We start from the raw sequence: 25,910 nt of genomic DNA, 5'->3' as shown, positions 1-25,910 counted from the left end.
TAAGGTAAAAGACTTGTTTCTCACTTTTTCCTTCTATCCTGAAGGAAGACCAACGAATTTGAGTGTAGACTGAGTTGAACTTTTCTATTTTAGAAGCTGACCTATCAGCACCATAATAATTACCCACCAATATTGGAGTCAGTTGTAGAGGAAGTGTTTGTGCAATTATTGGGGCATTCCTGGTAGTAAGGTACACAGGGAACCCAATTCAGTTTACCCCTCTGGGCCCTCTCCCACTTGGCAAAGTTTCAGGCCAAGATTTTGATTCTGGACCCCTTGCTACTCACAAACTCCCTCTTATGCATTCTCTGTTCTACTTGGACTTGGCTATCTCTCCCAGAGATTATAATCTCTGCTTTTAACAACTTAGCTTCTGGCTGACATTTGACCAACCAGGAATATGTTCCTCTCACCACCTGTCCAATTGTGCTCTTTTTACAACAAGGCCTAGTAGAATGAGTGCATGAGATCCAGTCAAGCCACACCATGCAACACTTGCCATCCCCAGCACAAAGAGCCATTCATGAGTCACTACTTCATATGGATAGCTCATGTCAAACCCTCTTGCCCTATTTAGATTGTAAATTCCACGATGGTAAGGAATCTGGATTTGTCTTCTTTGCAACCCTAAAAGACATGTGGATAGACAGAACATATTTTCAAAGACTCATAGAACTCTAAGTTGGTTTAAAATAAAACAGAACTTTAAAGATGGGTAGTGAGGTGTCAGAGAAGTCTGTTCCTGAGATCATAGAAATTTTGATTTGCCAGGACTAATTTCAGCCCCTAAATTCTGCTTGGATCCACCTTCAAATCTCTATTTCCCCCAAACTTCCTAGCCCTTACTCTAAACTATAGCCACTACTGTCGGTAGTCACAGCCCCATTTTCTGAGGCAGATATTTGCCTGAGAGGATCTTGATTTAATACACCAATTGTGGGAAACAGAATATAATAATAATGGTTAAAACGCATGCAGTCTTACTTTGAATGGTACACTTATTTTAAGCATTTTACTTATATCAACTCAGTTATCCTTATGACAATCATATAACATAGCCACTAGAAGTACACCACCCTCCCTACTTTATAATATGGTAGCCTTAGTAATGTGGTAGACTTAGGTTGGTTGCAAATTATTGCTACTCCTCCTCCTATTGAGAAGTGATATTTATGTCTCCTCCTCTGAAACTGGGAAAGCTCTGTGACTGTTTAGACTAATAGCATATTGTACAAGTGACACTGCCAGTTACCCAGCCCAGGCTATATAAAACTGGCACCCTCTACTTCCTGCCCCTGGAAGTACTCTCTCTGGAAGCCCTGAGCCTCTATAAACACAGCCCATCTGCTTTGCTGGAGAAACCACAAGGAGAATCCCAGAGAATACATAGAGAGGGAAAAGGGCCCTGCTGAGTCCCATCTTCCCAGTTAACCCAGCAAAGCACAAGGTATGTAAATAAAGCCAGACCCTCCAGGCAAAGTCAGCCACTGAGTGAACACAATCATCTCTCTAGATGGCACAGAAGAATTGCCTTGCTGAACTGTGCCCAAATTTCTGTCTCACAGAATTTTGAAATCTAATGACATAATTGTTTTAAACCACCAAGTTATGGGAAAATTTGTTTCATATAAATAGTTAACTAGAACTTACATGACTTGTCTGGGGTCATGTAAGCTAATATGAGGATGAACAAAGTTTTAAACCCAGCTAATCTAGCTCCAAGTGCATGCACTGAATCACTATGCTATAGCCTTACTACTGAAAAATACAACAAATTTGGCCAAAGCACCCTGATCACTGTGGAGGAAACACTTTCCTCAAGCTATGCTACCTTCCATTGTGAAATGACTCTAAAGTAGGTAATAAAGCCTGTCTTGTTTTCAGATGTATTCAGTAAATATTTACTGAGCACCTATGAAGTGCCAGGCCTTTACTTGAGAATTATCACTCACACACCTGCTTTCTCAATGCACATCTTAAATTTTTTAAAATTCAATAGAGTACCTAGAGCTATCCTTCTCAATGTAGGATCAAGACCTGATGCTTGGGCATGATTGCTATGAGTAAATTAACATCAGCCAGGTTATTCACAGATAGTTCTACACTCTTACCTGTAACAAAATGGAATCAGAAAGATCAAAGCACCAATTACTTCTAAGAGGCTATAACACTAGACAGACATACCAACTCAAAAACTACTTGTTCACATTCACACACGGTTAAAAGCAGCACTGAAAGCACCTTACAGTTTTCCTTTGATCTGAAATCAACACTACCTCAGGTTGACCAGGAAAGAACTCTTGAAAGGATGTTTTCTTTGCTTATGCTTTAAGAAAGAACTAGAGGATTTTTGAACAGACAGGTTTTTATACTGGTGGACTGACATGCTTATTTTCTTTCTCCTAGAGGAGTCTCATTTTAGGAAAACTTTGCTTTGACAATGTTATTAAATTTAGCAAAAGAGGACAGAACAGTGGTATCATTTGGAAAATGTTCTATGTATGATTTCACATATAGATAAAAAAGTGAATAATGGGCCCGGTGAATATGAAATCCAGTCTTCCCTACCTTTTTTTCCCCACTCACTTCTGAAGTATCTCCCAGAGATCAGAACTTTATGAATCCTCCTCATCTAAGAAAAGTAGTGGGGTCACATAGGCATATTAATGCTTCTGGGACTGACCTTCCTTACCTGCAGTCTCTAGAGTCTGGGAATTGTCCTAAACTTTGAATAGAATCCAATAGTTGTTGGGTCCCCAGTCCTAACATAGGTTTGATGTGATCAACAGAATGTGTTTAAGACCAGACTAGGCTTGAAGATGAGGCTTTTAAGTTTTTAATGGAGCACAGGGCAGAGTTCTGATGACTAGTGGTCAAGAACAAAAAAGATTTCCAAAACCCTTGGCAGAAAGTTATTTCCTCTAGTTAGTCTTCCAAAAAATCCAGGGCTTTTAAAATCCCTCATCGCAGTCTAATCAATTCTTGTAGGCTATTGGCTTTCCTCCAAGAGGATGTACTTACCCTTAAAACCAAAGAGTCTCAACAGGTTTATAACTCATTTTTGTAGACTTGGTGGAAGTAAAAGGAAAAGCATGTAGATGTAGTTCGATAATTACTGGACTTAAAGAAACACATGCCAGAGAGAGGCTATTGGAGAAGGCATTCCCAGTTGTTCATCTCCTCTAAAATGGCCATAGGTTCTATAACGTTTAGAGTTATAATCACTAGCAAGATTTTGTATCTTGTACCCTACTTTTCTTCCAAAGTTCTGACTTTCTTAATTTGCGGAAAGAGTTCAGGAACTCACCCAGTTTATTCCCATTTATGTATGTGCTACAGGAGGGAAAGCCAAAAAACCAATAATTACTACAGCTTGGTTCCCGAATCCCCGTGTAACATTAAATCATCTCAAGGTCAGTGAAAATTTGGCCTTAAAAAGAACTACAGGACCAGCCATTCCTATGAAGAAAAAGCCATTTGCTTCTCTGCTTCCCACAGAGTTAGCAGAATACATTCTGACAGAAACAAAACAAGTCTGCCAAGACCTGTGCAGACAGAACTATCCTTTCACCAACAATAAACAGATCTGCTCTTGAGCTAGAGAGAGTCATAATAGAAATATATATTGCCTTTTATCTTCTTTTCAGTGAGTAGAGCAAGGTGTCAGGAGTTATTGGTTTAATATCAGTAGAGAAGAGCTATTTTTTTTCTCGTGAGCATGTGTGTAGGTATGCAGGTAATAGCATGTGTGACGGTAACAGTACTATGCTAACCAGGTTTTTAGAAGCCTTTTGAAAACGATAAAATTGCCCTTATGACACTGTCAGCATATATAACTCCAAATTGTTACTGTGGAGCCATGCAAAGAGCTGTCTGGATACTTCTGCTCAAGGAAAAGGAAAAAGGAAGGCAACAGATAATACACTTACCATTACCTAGCTCACATACATTTAATTCTGAAAAATGGGAACACATAGGTGGTATAATTGATTATTGACTTTAAGTTAACCACGTCCATTGGAGTCAGTGTAAAGGTGATGTTAAAGACACAACTGAGCTCCTGGATAATGTCTTAAAACAAAGAAGCAAACAGGACAAGTGCTAATCTACTGATTTTTCTATAAACACTAACTAGGATAGGGGTAAGTAATTGTTGTCGCAGCAGCAATTGGAATGTCTCATGGTATGCCAGAGCATTTAAGGCTAATAATTCAGTTAACCTCCTACCCCCTACTAACTAGATTTATGAAATGCCAAGGGAGTCAGCAAAGTATTAAGCTTAGTTTGGATATAATTACTTTCAAGTGGAAAAAAACTGCCACAAAAACAAGGACTTCCGGTATAGCCAAACTCAAACCTTCAAATTTTCTACTGTAATTAGTATCTTGATCAAATATAAAGAAAACAAAATGGGCACAAACCTGACACATGATTAATCAGGATTTGATAACAAACATAAAGACTGCATTTTACAAGGAGTAGTTGCACTTCTAACTTTAACTGCCCTTGATTTAATGGTACCCATTGACCTCAATAATGAAAGATTCATGTTATAGCAAAGCCATCTGGAGAATGTGAATGAAATTGAACTAGGATATAGCTTTTCATATGATAACAGATTTTCCTTCCCTCCCTTGCCCTTTCTGTTATTTGAAAAGGTAATAAAATTAAAGGAGAGAGTATTTCATACTGAAAGTGTAGTCCATTGCTCGTTTTGAATAACAGCTTTACCATTTCAGTGATAAATACAATAAGAATAACAACCCAGGAGTGCCACAGACTTTTATGACTTCTTTAGCAATGACTTCACCTTTCTCTTCTCCTGGGTCTCATTACTATGAGTATCTGCCAGCATCCTTCTTACATAGTAATTCAAACTCTTTAGCTACATAAAGCAATGACCATGATAACAATGTTGCAAAGATAAAAATACAGACGCAATTAATACTTGGAAAAAGGCCTACCTGAATGCTGGCTGTAGAGCGATTCTTACGGGTTGTGGTAGTCGCCATTGTAGTAGTGGTTTCCATGACAGTAGTAGACATTTCTGGTGGCATGGAGGTCGTCTGTGTTGTTCCCAAAATTGATGGGACTTCTCCAACCAGCCGAACACTTCCATTGATTTTAATATTGGGGTTGTTCTCAGCCGCCATGTTCAGTACTTTCAAACCATCATAATAGAGCCCAGAGAGTTGGCCTTGGAAGAGGCGTCCTTTGTCCTTTCCACCAATGGCTATTTGCGCCTGAGTGTTGAAGATGGTTAACTGCCGGCCTAGTGGGTTGGGTGGAGGAAACATTATTATTCTCATACGTTTTCCTTGTTTGCCTTACCTGGTCTGAATGGACCAGGCATCATAACAGGCTTCCTTGAGCAATTGAAGGGGAGGAAAAAATAGACAACAAAACCTCAGTACTGACGTTAGCAAGTAACATTTCATTATGGTTATCTCTTCCACTGTCTAGCTGAAAATCTTTGATAACTTGAACAATCAAGTCTCTATTCCTTCATAGTGAGGAAGAAGAAATCTTGGTTCAATGATAAGAAGTATTATGGTCTTCTTGGGTATATAATTGAGGATGACAGAAAGAAACACTCAAATCAGGTGATGACCAGAATAAATTACGGATACCTACTGCATTAATGTTTAAAGCTACGAAGTAAAATAATGAGAATGAAAAGAATTAAATATGGCCAAAAAAACTCAGTGAGGTGACTCAGAAAACTAAATTTAAAAACCAGGTCTGATAATTAAATTAGCTGAAATTAAATTTCAGTTAAGAGACTTGGATTCATTGCATACTTGTAAAAATGAACTACTAGTCACCAAACGTATCATTTCTAGTCACCAAACGTATCATTTCCTATAAATCTTCATTGGGCATAATATTCTATTTTCTGGTTAACAAAATCATGAGAGATAAATTCCTATCTCTATTAATTTGTTTTTAGGAGGATGGATTATGGTCCCACAACTAAATTATTCCCTCAGTATGAAATATAAGCATATTGGTAATGCTCCAGTCCTGGGGAAGTTGTCCTTCAGATTTAATAAATTTTTTAAAATGGATGGATATTAATGAAGAAAGCAACATATAAAACTCCTTAAAATGACATAGAGGTGTGTTAATGAGTTGAAGAATATCAATAGTTCACTTTATTTCGAGTTCCCACTTTGACACCATTTATACTGCTCTGAAAAGTATCAAAATGAAAAAACATACCAGTATAGAGTTTAGAAGAATGAAACCCAACTAAAATTCCTCCCAACTCTTTCTACTTATAAAACTCTCAAGTATGAGATTTTTTTCCCAAGCAAACTCAAAGTAAGAGCTTTTTAAAATTTATTGCAATTTATCAGAACAGCAATATGCTAAGGCCTTCTTTACTGTTATGTCTCCAGATTACTTCATTTTGCTTTTCCATATGAAGAAAGGAAAAAAGAAAGACTTATTAATGGAATTAAATATACGCCTTCTGAAGTTTTCTCTACTTAGTGATCAAACAACGCTCCACTCATTCTTAATCTAATCACCTGAATTACCTTAGCTAGAAATAACTAGAAACAATTTTGTTATTTATGACTACTTAATAAAAAGAGGGTTTTTAACAAAATTATAAAGCTTTTTGCTTTATAATTTCCAATATGAATAGAGGGATATTGTCACGTTTGGGCTTTAAAAATCTACCACTATTACATGGTCTTCAAGGCTACACAATGTTGATCTGTCCTTGAATTCCTGGTGTATAATGTGAAATACCTTCTCAATGTATAACAATGAAAGAAATGGAAGTGGCAGAGAAGAGAATGCTCATCCGATCAGAGGATACTCCTTAGACAAGAGTTAATTCTGCACACTAGGCAACTCATAGTGCCCATTAATCAAGAATGATTTACAAATAATAGCCCTTTGGAAGCTTTCAACACTGCAGTATGGTGAATTGGCCAGAGAACTTTGTTATAGTGAAAATGATCTATACTTTATAAAAATCTCCAGAACCTGAATATGGGATCTGCTGGCCTTAATGACTACAGAATTACCCAGATCCCAAGGATGCAATCAAAACAGATCTCATAGATTTTCATCATTTTCTCAGCAATTCATTTAGTGTGTTGTGCATATGCATCACTGTCTGTATTTTGTCCTCTGTCCTCTTCACACAAGACACAGCAGAAAGTTCAATGCATAATAATACTAAGTAATATGCTGGAGTTCATACCTCTTTACTGTTTATTGTTGATGACAGTTTTTTTTTTTTTTTTTTCTGGAAGCCCTGAGCTTACTACAAAAGACATGAAATGATGGAAGGGGAAAATAAATTCTCCCTCAACCCCACAGAGGCATTTGAAGCAGCTTAACATAATGAATTAGAAATTAGAAGCAGCTGCCTAGCAGGAGATTTCTAGGAAAAAATTCAGTATCTTACATTAGACAGCCTAATGCCAAGAGATACTTTCCATGCACACAACTGCTGGCGAATCATAATATTTATCCATCTCTTTATTTTGTGTATAGTTCAGCACTGGTGATAAGTTAACAGTTATACTTGATTACAGGTAGAAAATCTTACATTCTAATATCCTTGAAAATACTTCACAATGATAACCTCTATAATAGTTCTCATCTTATCTCTCCAGTGGTGTTATTATGCCAGTGCTTACAAATAAAAAGAGGATCAGAGAAAACTGAAAATGCAAAGCTGAATTACACTGGCTAGAGATGATGAGTCTCCTTCATTCCAGTTGCCATCATTCACTCCACAAAGTGCTCTTTGCCTGTTCAAGACTGACCCAAGCATCAGGAAAGGCAAGGCAGGTTTCCTGGGCTACAAGATTTAAACTACCCCTCTACTCCTGACTACAGCTACTTTCCCAGAGAGATCTGACTAATCAATTCTTGAGAATAAGACACTGATGGAGTGAGACAGTAAAGGGGGTTGTCTATGTTTCAGTTTTTCATCTTGCCATAGGGAGTGTTTGCTTTTCTGTTTGCTTGTTTGTTTCATGGTCTGTTTCTGGCTAGATCTGCTCTTCTGCTGTAGTAAAACCCTCTCCTAGCTCCCTGTACCTTGGATTAGGTGGTTAATGGCAAAGCTAGCAATCAGTAAAGGAACAGTAGAGCACTCTTCGTGTCCTGCCATCCCTTACTCTGATTAATTTATCTCTCAGATAAACAGGGGTTAGTGAATAACAGAAAAAACCATCACTATTCATTCCCTATGAAGAATGTGAAGAACTGACCAGTTTCTTTTTATCATTTGCCCAAGATTTCCCCAAATCAATGCCAGATCTCATTATTCTCATTATTTTCACTCATGGCTTATGATCAGATTTTTATAATAACTGACCATTATATGTACATAAAAACATATATATATATGTGCATATTTATGCATATATATCCTAATCTGAGAACTATTTTATCTTTCTTAATGCAAAATTTGGTTATAACAAACACTGGTAGAGGAATTGTAGCAGGTTACTTTTTGTTTTAGATACCCATCCTCTTGGAAGTCATTAATTATTACCTCATTTGGACATCAAGTTCACATACTGCTTAAATTAAATCTTTGCATGTCTCCAGTCAGTGTTGCACAAAGACTAATTAATTAAACCTCAGAACACCCTTGGGGAATAGGCAGTATTATTTTGCCCGTCCTCAGATGGGAAATCTGAGATATAGAGAGGTTAAGTGGATTGTCTAAGGTCAGAAAGTTAGTCAATAGTAGACAGAGCCAGAAAAGAGACTTGGGAATGCTATGACCCAGCTCTCCACCCCAGTGACAGAAATAACTCCAAAGAGGCATTCCAAATACTTCCAAATGCATCTGTCTAATCATCCATCTATCTTTATCCTTTATATTCATTGTCTTTACAAGTCTTTGGTATATTTTATTCCTTTTGAAGGGAAGGTTAGCTAGGCAGAGGAAGAGGTAAGACAATAGAATGCATAGATGTTACTCACCCAAATTACAACAAAAATTTTTTTTCAGAGAACAAAATGTAGAAGAGAAACTCACGGTTTGCAAATAATTCTTTTCAGATTTATATGCATATATAATCATACATATATTTAAGAAACTAGGATATCTTCCCCAGTCCCACCTCAGCCACCCCTCCCCCCATCCCAACCCCTCAACTTGTATATTTGAAAGCACCTTTTATGTGAAAGCCAACGGGTAACAATTCTATTGTAAGAAAAACTAAAAGCCTACTAATAACTTTATAATGGTTTATACAAATGAAAATGCCTGGCATGCTATTAAACTTAGACTTAAAAGGCAATGGAGTAAAATAAAAATTATTAACATAAAATTGAAAGAAACAAAAAGGTTTCTCAGGCACATGAGACTCAGACATGCATCTAGTTTGCTTTTCCTGTTTAAAGTGAGGCAATCATTGTCTTTAATGTTAAAGGGACTTTATGAGCTGATGATTACTAAACAAAATTATTTGCTTTTTAGAGTTATTCTTATTTTTAATTAGACCACATACATTAAAAACAGGGCAAACAGTTAACACTCCGTGAGGATTTTCCACGTTTAAAGGTCTGAATGTCTTCCTCCAACTTAAAACTGTAGTAGTCCTTTGCTCTTTAAGTTGTATACTAAGTAATATACCTGGTTACTTCTTCTATATAACTCAATGAAATCTCTACAAATGTTAAGAGCTCCCTTTAGGTGTTGAGACAAGAGTAGCTTACACTGGCTCAACAACAACAACAACAAAGAATACGTATCTTCTTAGAGACTGTTTTTCATTGAAAAACAATGGTTTATTTTCTAACAGCTAGAAGCTATACAGGAAAATTCTAACATCAGTTATAACCGCTGCCCTCTTTTATTAACAGTGGTTGTTGTCTCCAGCAAATCAGAGACTGCTGTTTTGCCTTTCATGAACCTTTTCTTTTCCAACTCATTATGTTAACTTCTTACACTTTTGTTGCATAAAACATCAAATACACAAGTGTATGCACACAACCGAAGTGTAAAATAAGTTTGTTTTTGTTTTTAGTTTCAGTCAGCAACTAGGACACAACCTTAATCTCTTAGAAAATAATTTTGCCTCTGTAGGTTTTAAAGGCAAAATTCATCTTTTTCATTTTTTTCTTTAAGAACAAATGTTAAAAAAAAATGCTCCCCTTACAATATTTAAGTAGTTTAAGTTACAAGAGTCAATCTATGGTTTTTTGTTTGTTTGTTTTTTTGTTTGTTTTTTGTTTTGTTAAGCATGCTACAAGCCAAAACAGCCTCCAGGTGTAAGTTTAAAAAGCCCTTTTGGAATTTCTTTAGAAAGCTTTGGTGTAAAAGGTAATTTAAAACAAATTAATAAATAATGTCATGCAGTGGTTAAATTGCCATAATACATTTCTGTTTTAGAAGTTCCTGGAATTTCTTGTTTGTGTTTGTCATGCTGATAGCAGGCTAGAAGTTAGTCCCTTTAACTGTATTTTAATGGCAATGTATTATAGCATGATTTATCAACATATGGCAGGTGGAAGCTGACACAAATTATAATGAAAATTAAAACAGTCATTTATGCAGCAGGCGATTATCATTTAAGGAACATTTATTTGCAGGCTTTAAAAATGAGGGTTTAGGATCAAATGATTTTAAAATGAAAGTTTTAATGACGGTTACCTTTTTCCTGCAGCCACTCCTCTACAGGCCGATTATATTTGAAGGGGATTTTCTGTTTTACCATTTGGAAGCGTTCATTATCAGTGTTGCCTTTAAAGTTTAAAAAACAGCTTAAAGAACAATCTGAAAAGTCAATAAGTCATTAAAAAACATCCTAGGTTTTTTGGTTTGTTTTATGAAGTTTTTAGAGATAGATATCAATTTATCTTTAGTAGAGGTGGAGTTGAAGTCACTCTGCCCTTGGTCGATAGGTTTAAAGGTCAGGTTAGTCTTAGCCATGCAGTACTCCATCATGTTTTGGAAAAGTGGCATGGAATGGGAATCCTTAAGAGGTCTGGCCGTTTACGGAAATGGATTTACCTTCACTCTCTCTCTGTCTCATCTCAACCACACCTTAATTGGGCCAGTTGAGACACAAGGATCTCCTTGACCCATGACTAATTCACCTGCCAGATCAGTTTCACATGTGAGACGGGACCCTCGCTCCACAGTCACGCAAGCTGCACTATTAATCTACCGTATTCCCATCAGAAACATAGGGCCATGTCCTTCTTTTCTTCTCCTCTCAAGTGTTTGCAACAGCTTTATGTTCCGACAGGGGAAAGGAGGAGAGGACAATTTAAGCCTTGATGGCCAAGGGAGACTTCTTATTACATAAAGGATGTCCTTGCATCTCATTATCTTTGTCAAAGAGGTAGATCAGTACAGATAAGCTTTTATATCACTATCTTTCCAGATTTGTTCCACATTTTTAAAAATAAGGAAACTCAAATGTCAAAGGAAATAGAGGTAATTATAATATAGTGGTACAACATTTGTAGACTTTTGAGCACCGATATTTTATAATAGACACTGATTTTGTATATTTAGCCTCCCTCCACTTCCCTCCTTTCCTCTCTCCCTCCTGCTTTCTCTTTCTCTTACCTTACTGTAAGAGGACCTTTCTGAACAAGCATCCATTCATAAAGCCTGTTAGGAATACTTCTTCCAAGCATGAAATATCTAATTAGTTTCAAGGCTCAAACATAGTGGTTTTAACTGCCAGTATGCCCCCCCTCTTCCTTCGTAACTGTTATTAACACTGCTGAATGGTTTCCATAATTAGGACAGACTTGGAGAGTGGTGCTGTGGAGATACACCCTTAATGAATATGCTTCAAATAACAAAATGATGAAGCCATGCCTTGGGAACTGTTCTATCTCATCAACCAACCTCACATTGATCTGGCAGAAATTAGTGAATTGTAATTCATTACTTTTGATTCATAGGCCTATATTGCAACTTGGGGAACTCCATTCCAAACTACCAATATTAAAAATGAAAGAAAAATCTCAAACCAGGTGGCTTGGAAACAATTTACAAAGAATTCTAAAAGCCATAAAGAATATTAGAATTGCATATAGCATCAGACCAAATGAATAGGGGCATGCTAAAGCATTTCAATTGCAGGGCCATCTCCATATAGGAGTCATTATTGGCTGAGGAGATTCCACCTGGGAATAAACTGGTACCTACCTTCTGTGTTGTGAGGGTGGGGGTATAGGATAGGAAACGGGTAGCAATATTGGAGGATGTTCACAAGGTTCCCCATTCACTTCTCATACAGACAAATTATTCTAACAAGCTGACTCATATCTTTACTACCAGGAATTTTTAAAATAAGAACTCATAAAAGAGGCAACTATGAATCTGCTTCTAGCCTATGTTTTGGGACTGTATCTGGTTGGTACAGGGTATAACATATTAATGTATTGAAAAATAAAATGCAATAGGAACAATTAACAGTTTCGAACTGCAGTGGATAATTTAAAATTTTCCTCAAGGAATCATTTCTCATAGAAAAAAATGGAGAGGGCAGGCAAAGAGGAAAAAGAGACAGGCAAGTTAATTTCTTGGTGTTTCAATAGCCCATGGCGAAAGAATATAGCTATCGATTAGAGATCATTATAATGGTCTACCTTGGTAGATCTTGGTACAACATTCTATTCATTCAAAATAAAGTTGAGTAAACTTTTTAGACGTTTTCATAGAAAAAGAACGTGTACCTTTTTGAAACGAATATACATCTATAACTCATAATCCTACCCTACAGGTGACAGATATCATAAAGGATGTCATTCATCCTCTAGGGTTTTAGACACAACAGAATACTATACTGAGAAAAGGTAATTGGCTTGCGCCAGATCTGCCTTGAATGTATTCTATTACTTTGGGTTTTCTGTATCTGCCATTGTTGGCTACACATTAAATATATTAATGACCTTCATTCTACTCACTACGGAATAGATTGGTGTAGTCGATAGCAAGTATAAAGCTAAATATTCTTAGCAAAATGCAGGGCAAAATCAGAAGTAACTAAAATTCCAAATTTCTAGAATTTAATATACACCAAATTAATTAAGAAGCTGTATTAATTTACTTCCTCCAAATACACAGGGCCCTTGTCCCTCCTAAGCATCCCCACCCTCATCATCTACTCTCTTTCAAACGTAAAGCACCATAGAAAATAATCTGGGGGCATGATACAGGCTAGAAAAAGAGATAACTATGTTAGATAAACAGTAAGTGACATGGGGAAGGACAGCATGGTCATGATTCAACCTTAGACCCTTCTGAAAGTGACAGAGAGTCATTCTTCTCCACCTCAGCTTTAAAGACATTTAGAAAAAAGTTTTAAGTTTTCCACACCAGATTGATAGTATCTGGCACTAAGGATAGCAATCTTGCATGCTGTTAAAAGTTGTGAAAGATGGAAGGTCATTTGGAAAACCAAATTTGTTTAAGTTGCCGCATTAACATTGTTCTTAGTCTCTTTTCATGTTCTTGTTGGTGTTTATTTTAATTTATCTCAAACATTAGTAAGAACTGTTTTAGAAACATGTGCATGAGAATGAGTTATTTGCCCCATGCCTCATTTGCTAGTTTGACTGAAGCGCAAACAACCTTCTAAATATAAGTATTCTTATACAGGGCTACTCTAAAAGCTGAACAAACCTCACCAAATTCACCTACATTCTTGCTAAATCTTTAATGATATTCAGTCATATATTTCATATAGCAACAAGTATGTACATTTAAACAAAGAGTGAAATCAATTCTTCAACAGAAAGTGATGGCTATACTCAAGAAAGAATGGCCCTATGAGTAGTAAACATCATAATATCATTAAAAGGAGGCATACGTGCATTACTAATTAGAGAAAAAAATGTAATAACTTCATTTCTTAATCACACTGAGAAATCTATAAATTATACAAAGAGATCTTCAAATAAACCATTCTTAAATTACTTCTGTGGATCCGACACCTATATGGGACTGGGTTTTAGAAAAAAACATATTAGTCACATTTTATTGTACTTAAATATATGTGTGTTTATTCCCATCTATTTTTGATAAGGGATTGAGAACATTATACATTTGGCCTCTTCTGGTCATTTTCATTTGGACCACTGGCTCTAATATCAAGTATTTCAACTCCTGGAGACGTGTGCAACAAGCACATGCACTGTGGAATTATAATATTGTGAAGAACAGAATACTTTGAGGTGAAAGTATTGAAGCCCAACTGGTTCATAGTTCCAACCTTTACACTCCAACCTCACATTTTCCACTTTGGGTGAATCCACTTAGGATAAAAGTAAAAGGGAAAGAAACGGAAAGCAAACTGACCCTTGAGTAGGCCTCAATATACATCAATTCCTCTTTAAGGTGAGACTCGAAATTTATTAACAGTCTCCAAGGAATACAATTATTTCAAGTGAAAAAACTGAAAAATAGAACTCTTGTATAACATGGAAAATAACTTTTACAACACTGCGCTTACACTTTATTGGTCCAAACATGGGTCCTATTTAATTAGAAGGTATACTAATACTCTTAAAGCCATAATCAATACAGCATAGGAGTTAAGACCATGGGCTCTGGAGACAAATCTGGTCCTGAGTTCTAACTTTATCACTTATTAGCTGTGTGATCGTGGGCAAGTCACTTGGCCTCAGTTTCCCCATTTCTCAATTTACCATAGGACTTAGTATAGAATAATAGGGAGTACAGCATATTTAAACTATCATTATTAATATGACTCGACTCTTTTCTAGTGATCAGAAGGAAGCTCATTAGTTCCACGGTATGCTTCCCTTGTCTCACTACCTTATCAGTCCTTCATTCAAAAGATGACCATATTCTATTTGGTCCCACTTACCAGTCCTTCATTCAAAAGATGACCATATTCTATTTGGTCCCACAAAAGTCATCTTCCAAAGATCAACTGACCATAGAAAATGTAACATCCTTAATATTCCCTTAAATCCCTTATCTATCACTTTATATGTTTCTGTATCTTCTAACATACTCAGCTAAGCCCATTTCCAAAACAAAGTGGATTTCTAAAACCACTGAAAGTAAAAGAGCAATTCAGGCATTGACAAATGTGATTTCTTGGTCCAGCCACAGGTAATGATGATATACTGCTGCTAAGCTGAGAAAGAGTGGCTTAAAGGTTCTGCCAATTTGCACCAGGCTGGCAGAAAGCACTTTCTTGCAGGTAGACTATTAATACCACCTGAAATGTTGTCAAGCACGTGGACATGCTAATAGGAATATCCTAACAACATTCGTCTGTGCAAAATGAATGCCAAAGGCATTTTTGAATTTTGTCTTGAGCCCTGAAATAAAGGAGGAACAAATTTTCTTTATTGCTTTGTTGACACTAAAAAATCAGACTGTGGGTCTAATGAACAGTCAAAGAATAAATGCTATGTATTAAAGTCAGAGGCAAAAGAAAATCAATGTAGTGGTACTGCTGCCCTCAAGTACTAGGGCAGTTTAGAGGTTATTGCCATGTCTCTTCCCCCAAAGAACACTTTCTAAGTTAAGTTTCAGAGAAAGTATATGACACTAAAGGAAGGGAACTCCAGAAACTCTGAACTTGGCTTGAGCCACATTTCTGGCATTGTCCCAGACCAACTCAGAGTCAGAGAGGGAGGTGTTGCACACCCAAAGGCCATCTAGAATGTTTGGCCACTTGTAAGTGATAGATGGATCTCAGCAAAAAACTAATATCTTGTATTTATAAAGTGCCTTTCGACCAAGGAGCTCAAAATGCAATTATAAGCATCATCTCATTAATCCTCACTACACACCTTTGGGGCAGAAGGAAAAAGAACTATTTATATGTTGTGAGCTTTGATCCTTTAATGTGCCAAGGTAAAGAAATTAATGTCTTGGAACAGAAAATTGATCAGCTTGTGGGAAGTAAATTAATAGACCCAGAGCACAAGGGCATTATTAAGTAAGGGAGCTTTTTAAGTGGCTCCTTGAGCCAGGGAGACCCTGGAAAGAAGTGCAAATCACCCTGTCGTACACCAAGTTGGCTGATAAAGCTCACCTCTACATGTCTTCTGGATATGTTCTGATAATGGCAAATATATACGAGCAGACAGTATCATTTCCTTCCTAAATTAAAGTTGTAGTATGGGTTTACCAACTCTAGGCTGTGCTAGTTGATCTGTTTAAGCAAAGATGGCCCAAACATGAGTGAAAAGAATATTGGATATGGAGTCAGACAAACTTTGAATCAAGTCCAGACATTTATCAGTTCTGTGAACTTGGGCAATTTATTTAATCTAGATGACTCTTGGTGTCTTCATCTGTTTTTTGTTTTTTTAAAAAAGGTAATATCTATATTGCATGGTTTTATCCAAATTAAATGCAATAACTCAGGCAAGGGCTTAGCTTGTGGGGAATCAAAAGAGGTTGGGAGTTGAGAGAGCCTGTGATTTGTTTTAATTCTTAGGATCCTTCCCTAACACTCACCTAAGGCTTAGAAAAGAAAGTTCTTTCTCCCAGTAAGGAGCCTTGAACAGCAGGGGGATGGGAGTCAGGGTAAATCCTTGCCTTGAGAGCCTTCCAAAACCTTTTTCAGTCTCGATATTTGCATTGAGCTCTAGCCTCTGCCTGTGCTCTCTCTCTGATGAGCCTGTAGACATGTAGTTATCATGTCCAACTATCTTTTTTTTTTTCTTCTCTGAGACAGGCAGGCTGGAGTGCAGTGGTGTGATCTTGGCTCACTGCAGCCTCAGCCTCCCGAGTAGCTGGGACTATGGGCATGCACCATCATGCCCAGCTAATTTTTAGGAGAGATGGGGTTTCACTGTGTTGGCCAGGCTGGTCTCCAACTCCTGACCTCGTGATCCACCCGCCTCGACCTCCCAAAGTGCTGGGATTACAGGCAAGAGCCACCACACCTGGCCTATCATGTCCAAATATCTTATAGGCTATGGAATGGGAATGGAACCATGCCGGAGATGTAACCCTGGTGTATTACGTCCAGCTATCCGAATGTTCATGCCCCTATTCCTTGCTGTCTGTTGCTGGTTGAACATACATGTTTTGTGCATACATGTTAATATTAGACTTCTCTTTCATATCCTAAACAAATCAAAAATCCATTTCTGCTGAGGTATTATGTACTAAAATGATTTACTTTGATGCAATAATTACAACATATTTTACCAATCATTATCCTTTCTCAGTACTTTGAGGCCATTTGTAACTCACTTCCTGAAGCTCATTTCTCCTCCTCTATCAAGGATACTTTCAATCCCAGTTAGGTTAATAAAACTAGGCCCAGGCGACTGCAACCTCTTTATTCATTCCTATAATTTAAGAGAATATTTTCAAGCAACTTCAAATGAAACTTTCTTCAGTATGCCAGGTTAACCTGGCACCAATTCTTTATTTAAGAGCCCCTCTCAAAAAGGCCATGTTATAAATTAACAAAACATAAACTGACTGTAAAATTTGCTTTCTTTCCTCAAATGTCACTTTTTTTTTCCTTCCACAATTATTCTGAAATATGCACTGAAGCTACAGTAGTTGATTTCAATGTCTGAATTTTGTCTTGTTCCTTTCTGGTAACCATGCTTAGTTTTAGCCATGTCTTAGTGCATTTTAAGTTTTAGTTTCTTCATATTTAAAAGGGGATCGTAATAATAATTGCAACATGGGATTGCGGTGAGAATTAAAAGGAAATGTATATAAAGCATGTTGCAAATCTGTGGCACAAAATAATCCCTCAATATATGATTTGTTATAACAAGTACCTGATTCAGAAGAGTTAAACTAAAAAGAAGGCAAACTCCACAAGAATTACTTCCCTACAGAATTTTTGGTGTCAAATATTTTCAAATATCCTTTTCAAAATAAAGCTTTAATGTTTGCTCTTCAGCCGTTTGACATATGATCCCTTCAAGATTTCCCCAGGTGCCTTTCCTCTTATCACTTATTTCCTCCTTGCTGCAAAAGCCACAGTGTTATTTTGGGGCTCACTCTTTCCCCTGTGATCCAGGCCTTCCCACGTGTCCACCCTCTGTGTCATCTCTGCTTCTCTGTAATGTTGTTCTTCCTTTTATTTCTATCTACCCTCTTCCTCCCACTCCCCATCCCCATCTCCTCTCATTCCTCTCATGTTTGGTTATTTATTTCTAAGTAGAGAACATCAAACGCAAGGTTTTTGAAGCCAGAATGCCAGAATATTTGATTTTTTAAAATTCTGTTCATTTAAACATACATATGTGGTGTCCCCACACAGCTCAGAGGACAGGGAGGAGGTTTGGGAGGACAATTCCGCTGCACAACACAGGAACATTGTCATCCCGACAACAGGAAAGTCATGCTATTATTAATATCTCCGATGCTCAAGAAACTTATGACATAGTAATCCTTCTGTATACATCCTATAGAATTGCCAGTGTTTATAAAATTGTAGACATTTTAGACCATCCTTGAACCCCCTTGCCTAAGAATGAATTTATTATTCCCAAAATATCTAAAAGTAACAATCACTGTTCTAGTCACCACCCACAGGAGGCCTGACTAGTATACTGATTTGCAACCGTTGCTTCAACAACCACATCATAACAGGACCGCATATTAGGCTTGTTTCTAACTAAAACTCAAGCCAGTTTCTAGTTGAATGGCTTCCCAAAGAAATTGTTCCACGTTGCATTCATACAACATACTTTATGAACGTCCAACAGGTATTTATATCTCATTAAATGTATTCTTTTTGTTTCATAACAGCATCCAAACATGGTAAGAAAATGTTTAACTCTAGGATTTTTTGTTTCTGGTAGGAGATACCTCTCTTAGCTTTGTGTTATCTGCAAATTTAATAAGCATATTTTTTGTGCATTCATTCTAGTCCCTGAATAGGAAGATTATGATGGAGCTATAAAATATCTAAAAATACTTTGAAACTCCTCTGTGTAAGAGGTGAGGTTTGATTCTTCAACCTTGATTGTGGGCTGGACTTAGTGACTTGATTCTACAGAGTAAAACACGGTAGAAGGAACAGTGTGTGGACTTAGAGACTGAGTCATAAAAGGTGCTCTCTCTCGGACCACTCATTTCGAGCAAGCTAGACTCATGTCATGAAGACACTTAAGAAGTTCTATGGAAACATACATAAGGCAAGGAACTGAGCCAGAGAGTAACTGATGCTTCCAGTCAACATCCATGTGAGTGAAAGATTTCCAGGTAATCAGATCTCCCAGGTCTAGATAGCACTGAGATGACTGCAGCCGTAGTTCATACCAACTGCAACTCATCAGACACCTTAAGCCAGAATCACTCAACTAAGCTGCTATCAAATTCTGACCTATAGAAACTGTGAGATAATAAATTTTACTTTTATTATTTTAGTTTACCTCAAACTTTACAGTGTAACCAGAAAGCTTCAAATGATGGAACACAGGCAGGTCTCTTTAAGATCCCTTCATAGTTCTCTGTACATTACAGTATACTGCTTTAGGGAAATGAAGATACACTGTGCATGGTATTTATAATATCCTCCTCACCTGCCAATTTGCTATTGCTATCCAAGAGAAAGTTACACTAGCATGCGTGAGTTTTTGTTTGTTTGTTTTTTAATGAGCCCAGGTTAGTTCTCAGCCATCACCATATTCTTTTTTAAATCTAGCTAAATGTGTGCCAATTTTTGGTCAAATGAAACACTGGAGAAGTTTTATATATCAGTCCCGAGTTTAAGAGATCCATCCTATTATACAGTGTAAAATTTAGGACACTTTTCCCAGACTAGTTTTCTATTCTGACTGGCTCCTGTTAATTATTTCTGAGCGAACATTAAAGGGGCTTAGAATTCAAGTTCCTTAAGCACTTCTAATGTTATTCATCTAAGACCCAGAAATTAGAGTTTCTTTGAAGAACTCTATTACCATTTCCTCACCGTGTGAGGGGTGGGAGGGGACTGGATTTTCTTATTTATTTTGTTTGCATTGGTCATCATAGTCTGAAGGAAATTCTTTTGCTAAATAATATATTAGTGACAGATGTAGATGTCCATTTAGGGAGTGAAGGAATTTCAGGTAATCACCATGGTCCCTCTTTAGAGTAAATGCTTTCCCATTTTATAATTAAATAAAAACAGTTTCTGGGAGTAGAGTTTGCTGGGATTTATAGCTTATAATTTGAGAGAAGGAGCCCATCATTTTTAGGTTGTGGAGACCTCAAAGACCATCTAAGAAATATATATTCTCTATTTTGATGTTTCTCAAACTTCTGCTTAGAACATCATTAGAAAAAGAACTCCTAGCAACAAGCAAGCATCAGAGAGTATCGATCTTGAAGACAACTTTCTCCCCGTAAAGTTAATAATTAAAGAATTGTCTACACTCCTATTTGTTTGGCTGCATAGAATTTTTAAGGCTTCTCAAAAATTAAACCAGCTGGCAGCCATGTATCATTTAGTGCAAGATTCAAAGGTCAGATATACACTATTAAAATGTGGTACAAGAATCAAAATTTTCCCAGAGAAGAAATAACCTCAGGGGATGCCGTAGTTGTAGTATGTCTTGAATTCATACAATGCCTCGTTAATTCTACTTGGCAAATTAATTCAAATTGATTTGTTTGTGAGAACTGCAACATGGCCTCAAATCTGGCTACAAACAAAGGATAATGATAAACAACAAAGTACTGAGCTCACAGAAATGTCTAGAGAAAAGTATGGATCAGCATGGGGGCTGTTTTATAACACATCTATCTTAGTTTAAAAAGAAAAGAAGAAAAGAGGAAAGGGAGAACATACCCTATACAAATATAAGACATTTTACAAATAACACTGATAGATTGTAACTGCCAAAAGCAAAGGAAAATAAAATATTTGAAAGCATCCAAGGGAACATGAATGTGGATAATTTTCTTAATGGGCATTTAATTTTTAAAAAATCAATTTGACTTAAAGCAAAATGATCAGACATAGAGAAAAAAAGGAAAAAAATGTAAGGCTTGGGATATGGCAGAAAGAATCAAGATTAATTTCAAAAAGCCATGTCCTAAAGAAAAGAAAGGACAATCCCTTAGTGAAAGTCACTGATTTCCAACCACAGCTTGAGACCTGAATCAGGGTTGGAAGGAGAAAATTTACGAGGGAAATATGATTAGTAGAACCAGAGCCTTTCTTCTTTTCCAGTGTGTTAAATTGGAAAAAAAAAAAAAATAGCTACAATCCCATTTCAAAATCTGTCTCTTGGCAGTGAGACTCTTACTCCTCTCATAACAGTTTGAATCTATCTTTTCACCCTTGGGGTTCTGGGTGGGCCGTGAGACTTGCTTGGGCATATGGGCACTAGCAAATGTGATATAAGCAGAAGCTTGAAGAGCCATCTGTGTATGAATGCTTGCCCTTGCCTGCTGCCTACACCTGAGATTGCCATGTGAACTTCCATGAGAAAAGAAACCCAGCCATGTGAACCTACTCGGCTATCTGAACTGAGACCCCAGAGGGGTACATGAGGCCATCAAGATCATCTAGCTCCATCCAAGCCAACCCAGAAGAGAAAAAAACACTCACATGAGCCACGGAAATTTTGGAGTGGTTTGCAATGCAGCGAACCTAAATGATATAGCCAGGAATTCAGGAGATCCAGGAAGAACAGGGGTCCGAGAGTGGGTAAAGGAAACACTATCTCCTATGAGGATTTCCATGAAGGCTCAGCAGGAGGAGGGAAGCAGCTCCGTTGCAGTCTCCAGATTCAAAGGAGTTTGTGTGGCAAAAGTCTTAGGGGTCCAAGGATGGAGACATGGACAGCTGGGCCCCTGTTGCCTATCCTTAGCCCTGTTCCTCTTTCTAAGGAAAGAATTACCAAATCCAAAAGAAGAGATGCAATAATGCAGTTCCTGAGAGGAGAGGGTAAGGCTGAGGGAGTTGGGAAAGGGAAGGAAAATTGGAGAAAGGTTGATGCATGTGTTGATGCTTCTCTGATCCTTGATTCTAGACACAGACTAGGGGAAGAGCAGGGAATGAGGTGGGGATTGACTCCAAGACGATAATGAGTAGAGTTAAGTAGCTCCCTAAAGGGACAAGGACCTACTTATCTGACCTCCTTCTATCACTCTTTGGATGAGGAGTGGAGAGGAAGATCTCTAGGAACAGCAGGCTGAATTCTGAATTTACTAGTAAGACTTGCTGGCACTGAGACCTCTCACCCCATCAATGAATTTTTTCATTCCATACATGATTTCACAGAGAGCACTGAAGGATTACCTTCTTTTTTTTCTGAGCAAACAGGGCCATCACTTTCATTCTTAACCCTAACATTCCAAAACAAAACCATTTATGTCCCTGCAGGGTATGAATACCCTTTGAATACTGGTCATGAATACACTTACGTATACTTAGACTAGAAAGGCACTCCTCCACCACATTCCCTACTAACACACAACAATAGAAACAAACCAAAACTCTCATTAAAGATCAAAACTAGACACACACACACACATACACACACACACACACAAACAGTCCTACCTTGCAACCTTGGTTTTACCTTTTTTTCTGTTGTTCTGTTTTGTTTTGAGACAGGGTTTCACTCTCATCGCCCAGGCTGGAGTACAATGGCAGGATCTTAGCTCCCTGCAACCTTCACCTCCTGGGCTCAAGCAATTTTCCCGCCTTCCCCTGCCTCAGCCGCCCAAATAGCTGCGACTATAGGCATGCATCTGTAGGTGTGAGCCACTGCGCCCAGCCTGCAACATTGGTTTTTAAAAAGCAGGCACTGCCTCTTCAGCCCCTGTTAAAGTTTATGGATTAGCAAAAAGCAGCCTTTTTAAACTCATTGAGAAGAGTTTAGAAATCATTTCCTTAGGATGTTATAGGTACTATTTAAGGGGCATTTCTTTAGCATGTGAATGGCAGCTAGACTCTAGAGCAAAGATAGACTCTAGAGTAAAGACCCCAAAATGATCAAGATCCAGGGACTAAGGGGTTACCAAAAGTAAGGACAACTAGCACTGCTAAATGCTGTGATTTACAACTCAAGTGACAGTCAATCATTAGAAGTAACTTATAGTTACGTCATGACTCAAATATTATTCACATTGTAAATGTGATGGCCAGAATAGCATTTTTTAAAATTAGGGCTTTAAAAAACACTTTTAAGAAAGTGGCCAATGATTATGTAAAATTATCCACAAATGTTAAATATTTATCTGGCACCCAGATTCCGCTACTCTGTATTGAATATTAGTCCTTAAAGTATTTTTTTCCTATGAAATTAGAATCACCTTAGAAGCAGTGCTTTTTCTTTTTTAAGCTTTTTACTCCATTCTACTTCTATAATTCCCTCCTTAACACACAATGAAACCAAACATTGACATACCTTCAGTGCTCAAGGATACTCAAAAAGTTGACAACTATTGGCCACCTCAAAAGATGGCAGGTATCCAACAAACTATTAAACTATTAGCTTTGAAGTTTTCGATGTTCAGAAAGGTTCTTATAACCTTTATAACATTTGAGACATATACATAAAATAACAATGCCTCTTCCTTCTTTAAGCTATTTCATATGACTTTATATGTAATATTAAATCTTGGCTATCTGAGGAACATGTCTAAAGATTATAGGTGATTTTACGTGTAAAGATATTCATTGAATATTAACTACATGCTAGCACAAAGGCAATACTTTTTATATTTGCCCATTGATGGGTGTGTGTGTATAGAGAGATTTTATAAATATCCCAAATGAAAGCATGCTTTTGTATGTGCCATAGAACCTTGCACCTTGCAACAAGAAATAGCTCCTAGATATGAGATGTAAGAAAAAAATCCATGATTTAAAGAAATTATTCAAAATAATTTCAACTGACAACCCTAATAATAAAAGATGTGAATGAAAAAAAAAATTTAAGCCAAAGAGGAGAAATCAGATATATTATCTTGGTGGAAGAAAGATAAAGTCTCTCATTTTAAATTAGATGAATAAAATTAAACTAGTACATATTGTTAGAAATATCTGAACCAAGCAGGGAAACGGACCGGGTGACCTGGTATTTTCACCATTCTAATTACTAGGTTCCTTTGAATTTCACTCCTTCAGAAACCTGCTTTTATCTTTGCAATAATGATCCAAGAGATTAAAAGAAGGCCTCTGAGTGACTTGATTTGCCTACTCAAGTTCATGCAGTATCTATTGATGTACCATTGCTGTCTTGTCAAAAAGCACTTACAACATTAGTAAGTATAAGGTGTAATTAGGACAAGAGATGGACAGGTGAGAAGAAAGCCTGCAGTCTTCTTGGTTTAATGTTTTTATTTCTGACTATCAGGGATGGTGGCCTTTAAAAATCATATTGGAATCCTCACAAGTGCTTAGACTTCTGAACAAGGATTGAAATTTTTCTTCTAACCCAAACAAGAATGCTGTCCAAAGATTTACTTTTGATTGTGAATTATAGAGGATATATACTAAACACAGTGAGCAGCAAAGACGTGTAGACTTCCTCTTTCCTTAACCTGGGTTTAAACTTGGTCTGATTGAATAATGGTTCAAGTCCTATTATTCAGTTTCTACCACAGAGATTTATAGAGAAGGATGCTTAATGAATACTTTTAGAGGAGAATTTGAGCAGTTGCTATAAACAAAGGAAAGCAGGTATTAGAGTTGCTTTTGTCCTTACAGTTTGGCTATGTCAGTTGGGACTTCACTTCCAAATGGCAGTGGGGTTTGAAAGTATACAGTAACTGCTCAAACTCTTGGTCCCTTTAATCAACAGCTAGCTATTCTAAGTAGCTGCAGGGGCCAGTGGAGTAGGGGGAGGTTGGAAGAATGAGAGTGGTGAGTGGCACAAATCAAAGAATCGAAGCCAGAAGAGGGAGGAACAAAGTACAATTATATTGATTGTTTTATTTGATCAGAAAATTAAAGCCACTGTAACCTGACAGAAAGCTACAGTTATATAATTATGCAGCCACAGAATAAGCTAGATTTACTTTCTGAATAGTTCAATAATGTTTTGGCCTATGTGTTCATCAATGATACCTACAACCACTATCTCATTTCAACAAGACCACTAGGAAGGTTGGCTTGGAACAAGTCTCTTAGAAGAATTACATACAACTACTGGAAATGGAAATAAAACAAGAGAATTGTCCATGAAGGTCTGGGATCAGGGTTGGTCAGGACTTTCAGTTAATGTGTTGGCAAAGCACCTCACTCAGTTTAGCTGACTTATTTCAAGAACAGATCTATTAAGAGTATTCCAAAATTCCCTTTATAGACCTACTTGTAGCTCAAAATTCTGAGGTCATAGCGGGGGAAAGTCACAGAATGAAGCAAAACTATTAGATTTCACTTGGTTTGCCTCCTCTAGGAGAGCTCAATTGCTCCCTGAGAACAATATATTGCCTTTATTTTTACCGATTCTAGAGATCCAGTGCCACCCATACCACAGAAAAAAATTCAGTAAACTAATCCAGCTATTCATTTTGTAAACCTAAAGACATTTCAGTTCTATTTTAGCTTGTATTTTACTTACATAAATTTTTATTTTATTTGAAACAGCACCTCGCAACAGTTTTATAAAGGTATAAAAATGAAGTAATAAGATTTCTAAACCTTGGCTAAGATTTTAGATTTACTTTTTACATATATATCTATATTAGATTTATATGTATTTTTCTGTCAAGGATACTGAAATCTTCCTCCTATTTATCATTTTGTTTAATTATACTTGGCAATCCACCCTTTGAGACCAATAAAGAGTCATCGTACTAATATAAAAAATATTTCAATAAAATCATATTTGTTTCAATAAAGAAACATTTCTAAAGCAAAAGCTTAAAAGTTTTGTAGTAAATGATATTTTTCTTTTGTTATAAAAGTATTTATAGTTAATGCTTGTCAAGGATGCTGTATAACAACTTATATTTTTGTTGTGTATATGCAGTCATTGAAGTCAGAAAGCTC

The 25,910-nt window shown here is 37.0% G+C and overlaps 1 protein-coding gene across 56 annotated transcripts in view, besides 1 other annotated feature; it reads right to left on the bottom strand.

Annotated features, from left to right (window-relative positions):
* Positions 1-25,910, bottom strand: part of NRXN3 (neurexin 3) — a 1,697,919-nt gene that overhangs the window by 165,390 nt on the left and 1,506,619 nt on the right. For 37 of the 56 annotated variants that reach the window (NR_158973.1, NR_158974.1, NR_073547.2 and 34 more), the window contains 2 exons: positions 10,640-10,729; positions 4,965-5,272 (listed from right to left, as the gene is read on the bottom strand). Coding sequence is in view for 49 of the 56 variants with exons in the window: in XM_011537363.2 (XP_011535665.1) it covers positions 4,965-5,272; positions 10,640-10,729 (398 nt within the window). In the remaining 7 variants the exon portion in view is untranslated. The remainder of the gene's footprint in view (positions 1-4,964; positions 5,273-10,639; positions 10,730-25,910) is intronic. The other 19 variants (NR_158975.1, XM_017021799.3, XM_017021800.2 and 16 more) reach the window with 1 other exon arrangement.
* Positions 21,962-22,555: an enhancer, noted in NCBI's record as "NANOG hESC enhancer chr14:80146690-80147283 (GRCh37/hg19 assembly coordinates)". NCBI's record gives its function as "activates a minimal SCP1, AML or CMV promoter by ChIP-STARR-seq in primed H9 embryonic stem cells {active_cell/tissue: H9 hESC(primed)}" and the evidence as "EXISTENCE:reporter gene assay evidence [ECO:0000049][PMID:30033119]".

This window comes from Homo sapiens, chromosome 14 (assembly GCF_000001405.40).
Source record: "Homo sapiens chromosome 14, GRCh38.p14 Primary Assembly".
Taxonomy (NCBI): domain Eukaryota; kingdom Metazoa; phylum Chordata; class Mammalia; order Primates; family Hominidae; genus Homo; species Homo sapiens.
The sequence above is the reverse complement of the archived record's forward strand: the minus strand, read 5'-3'. Positions and strand labels throughout refer to the sequence as shown.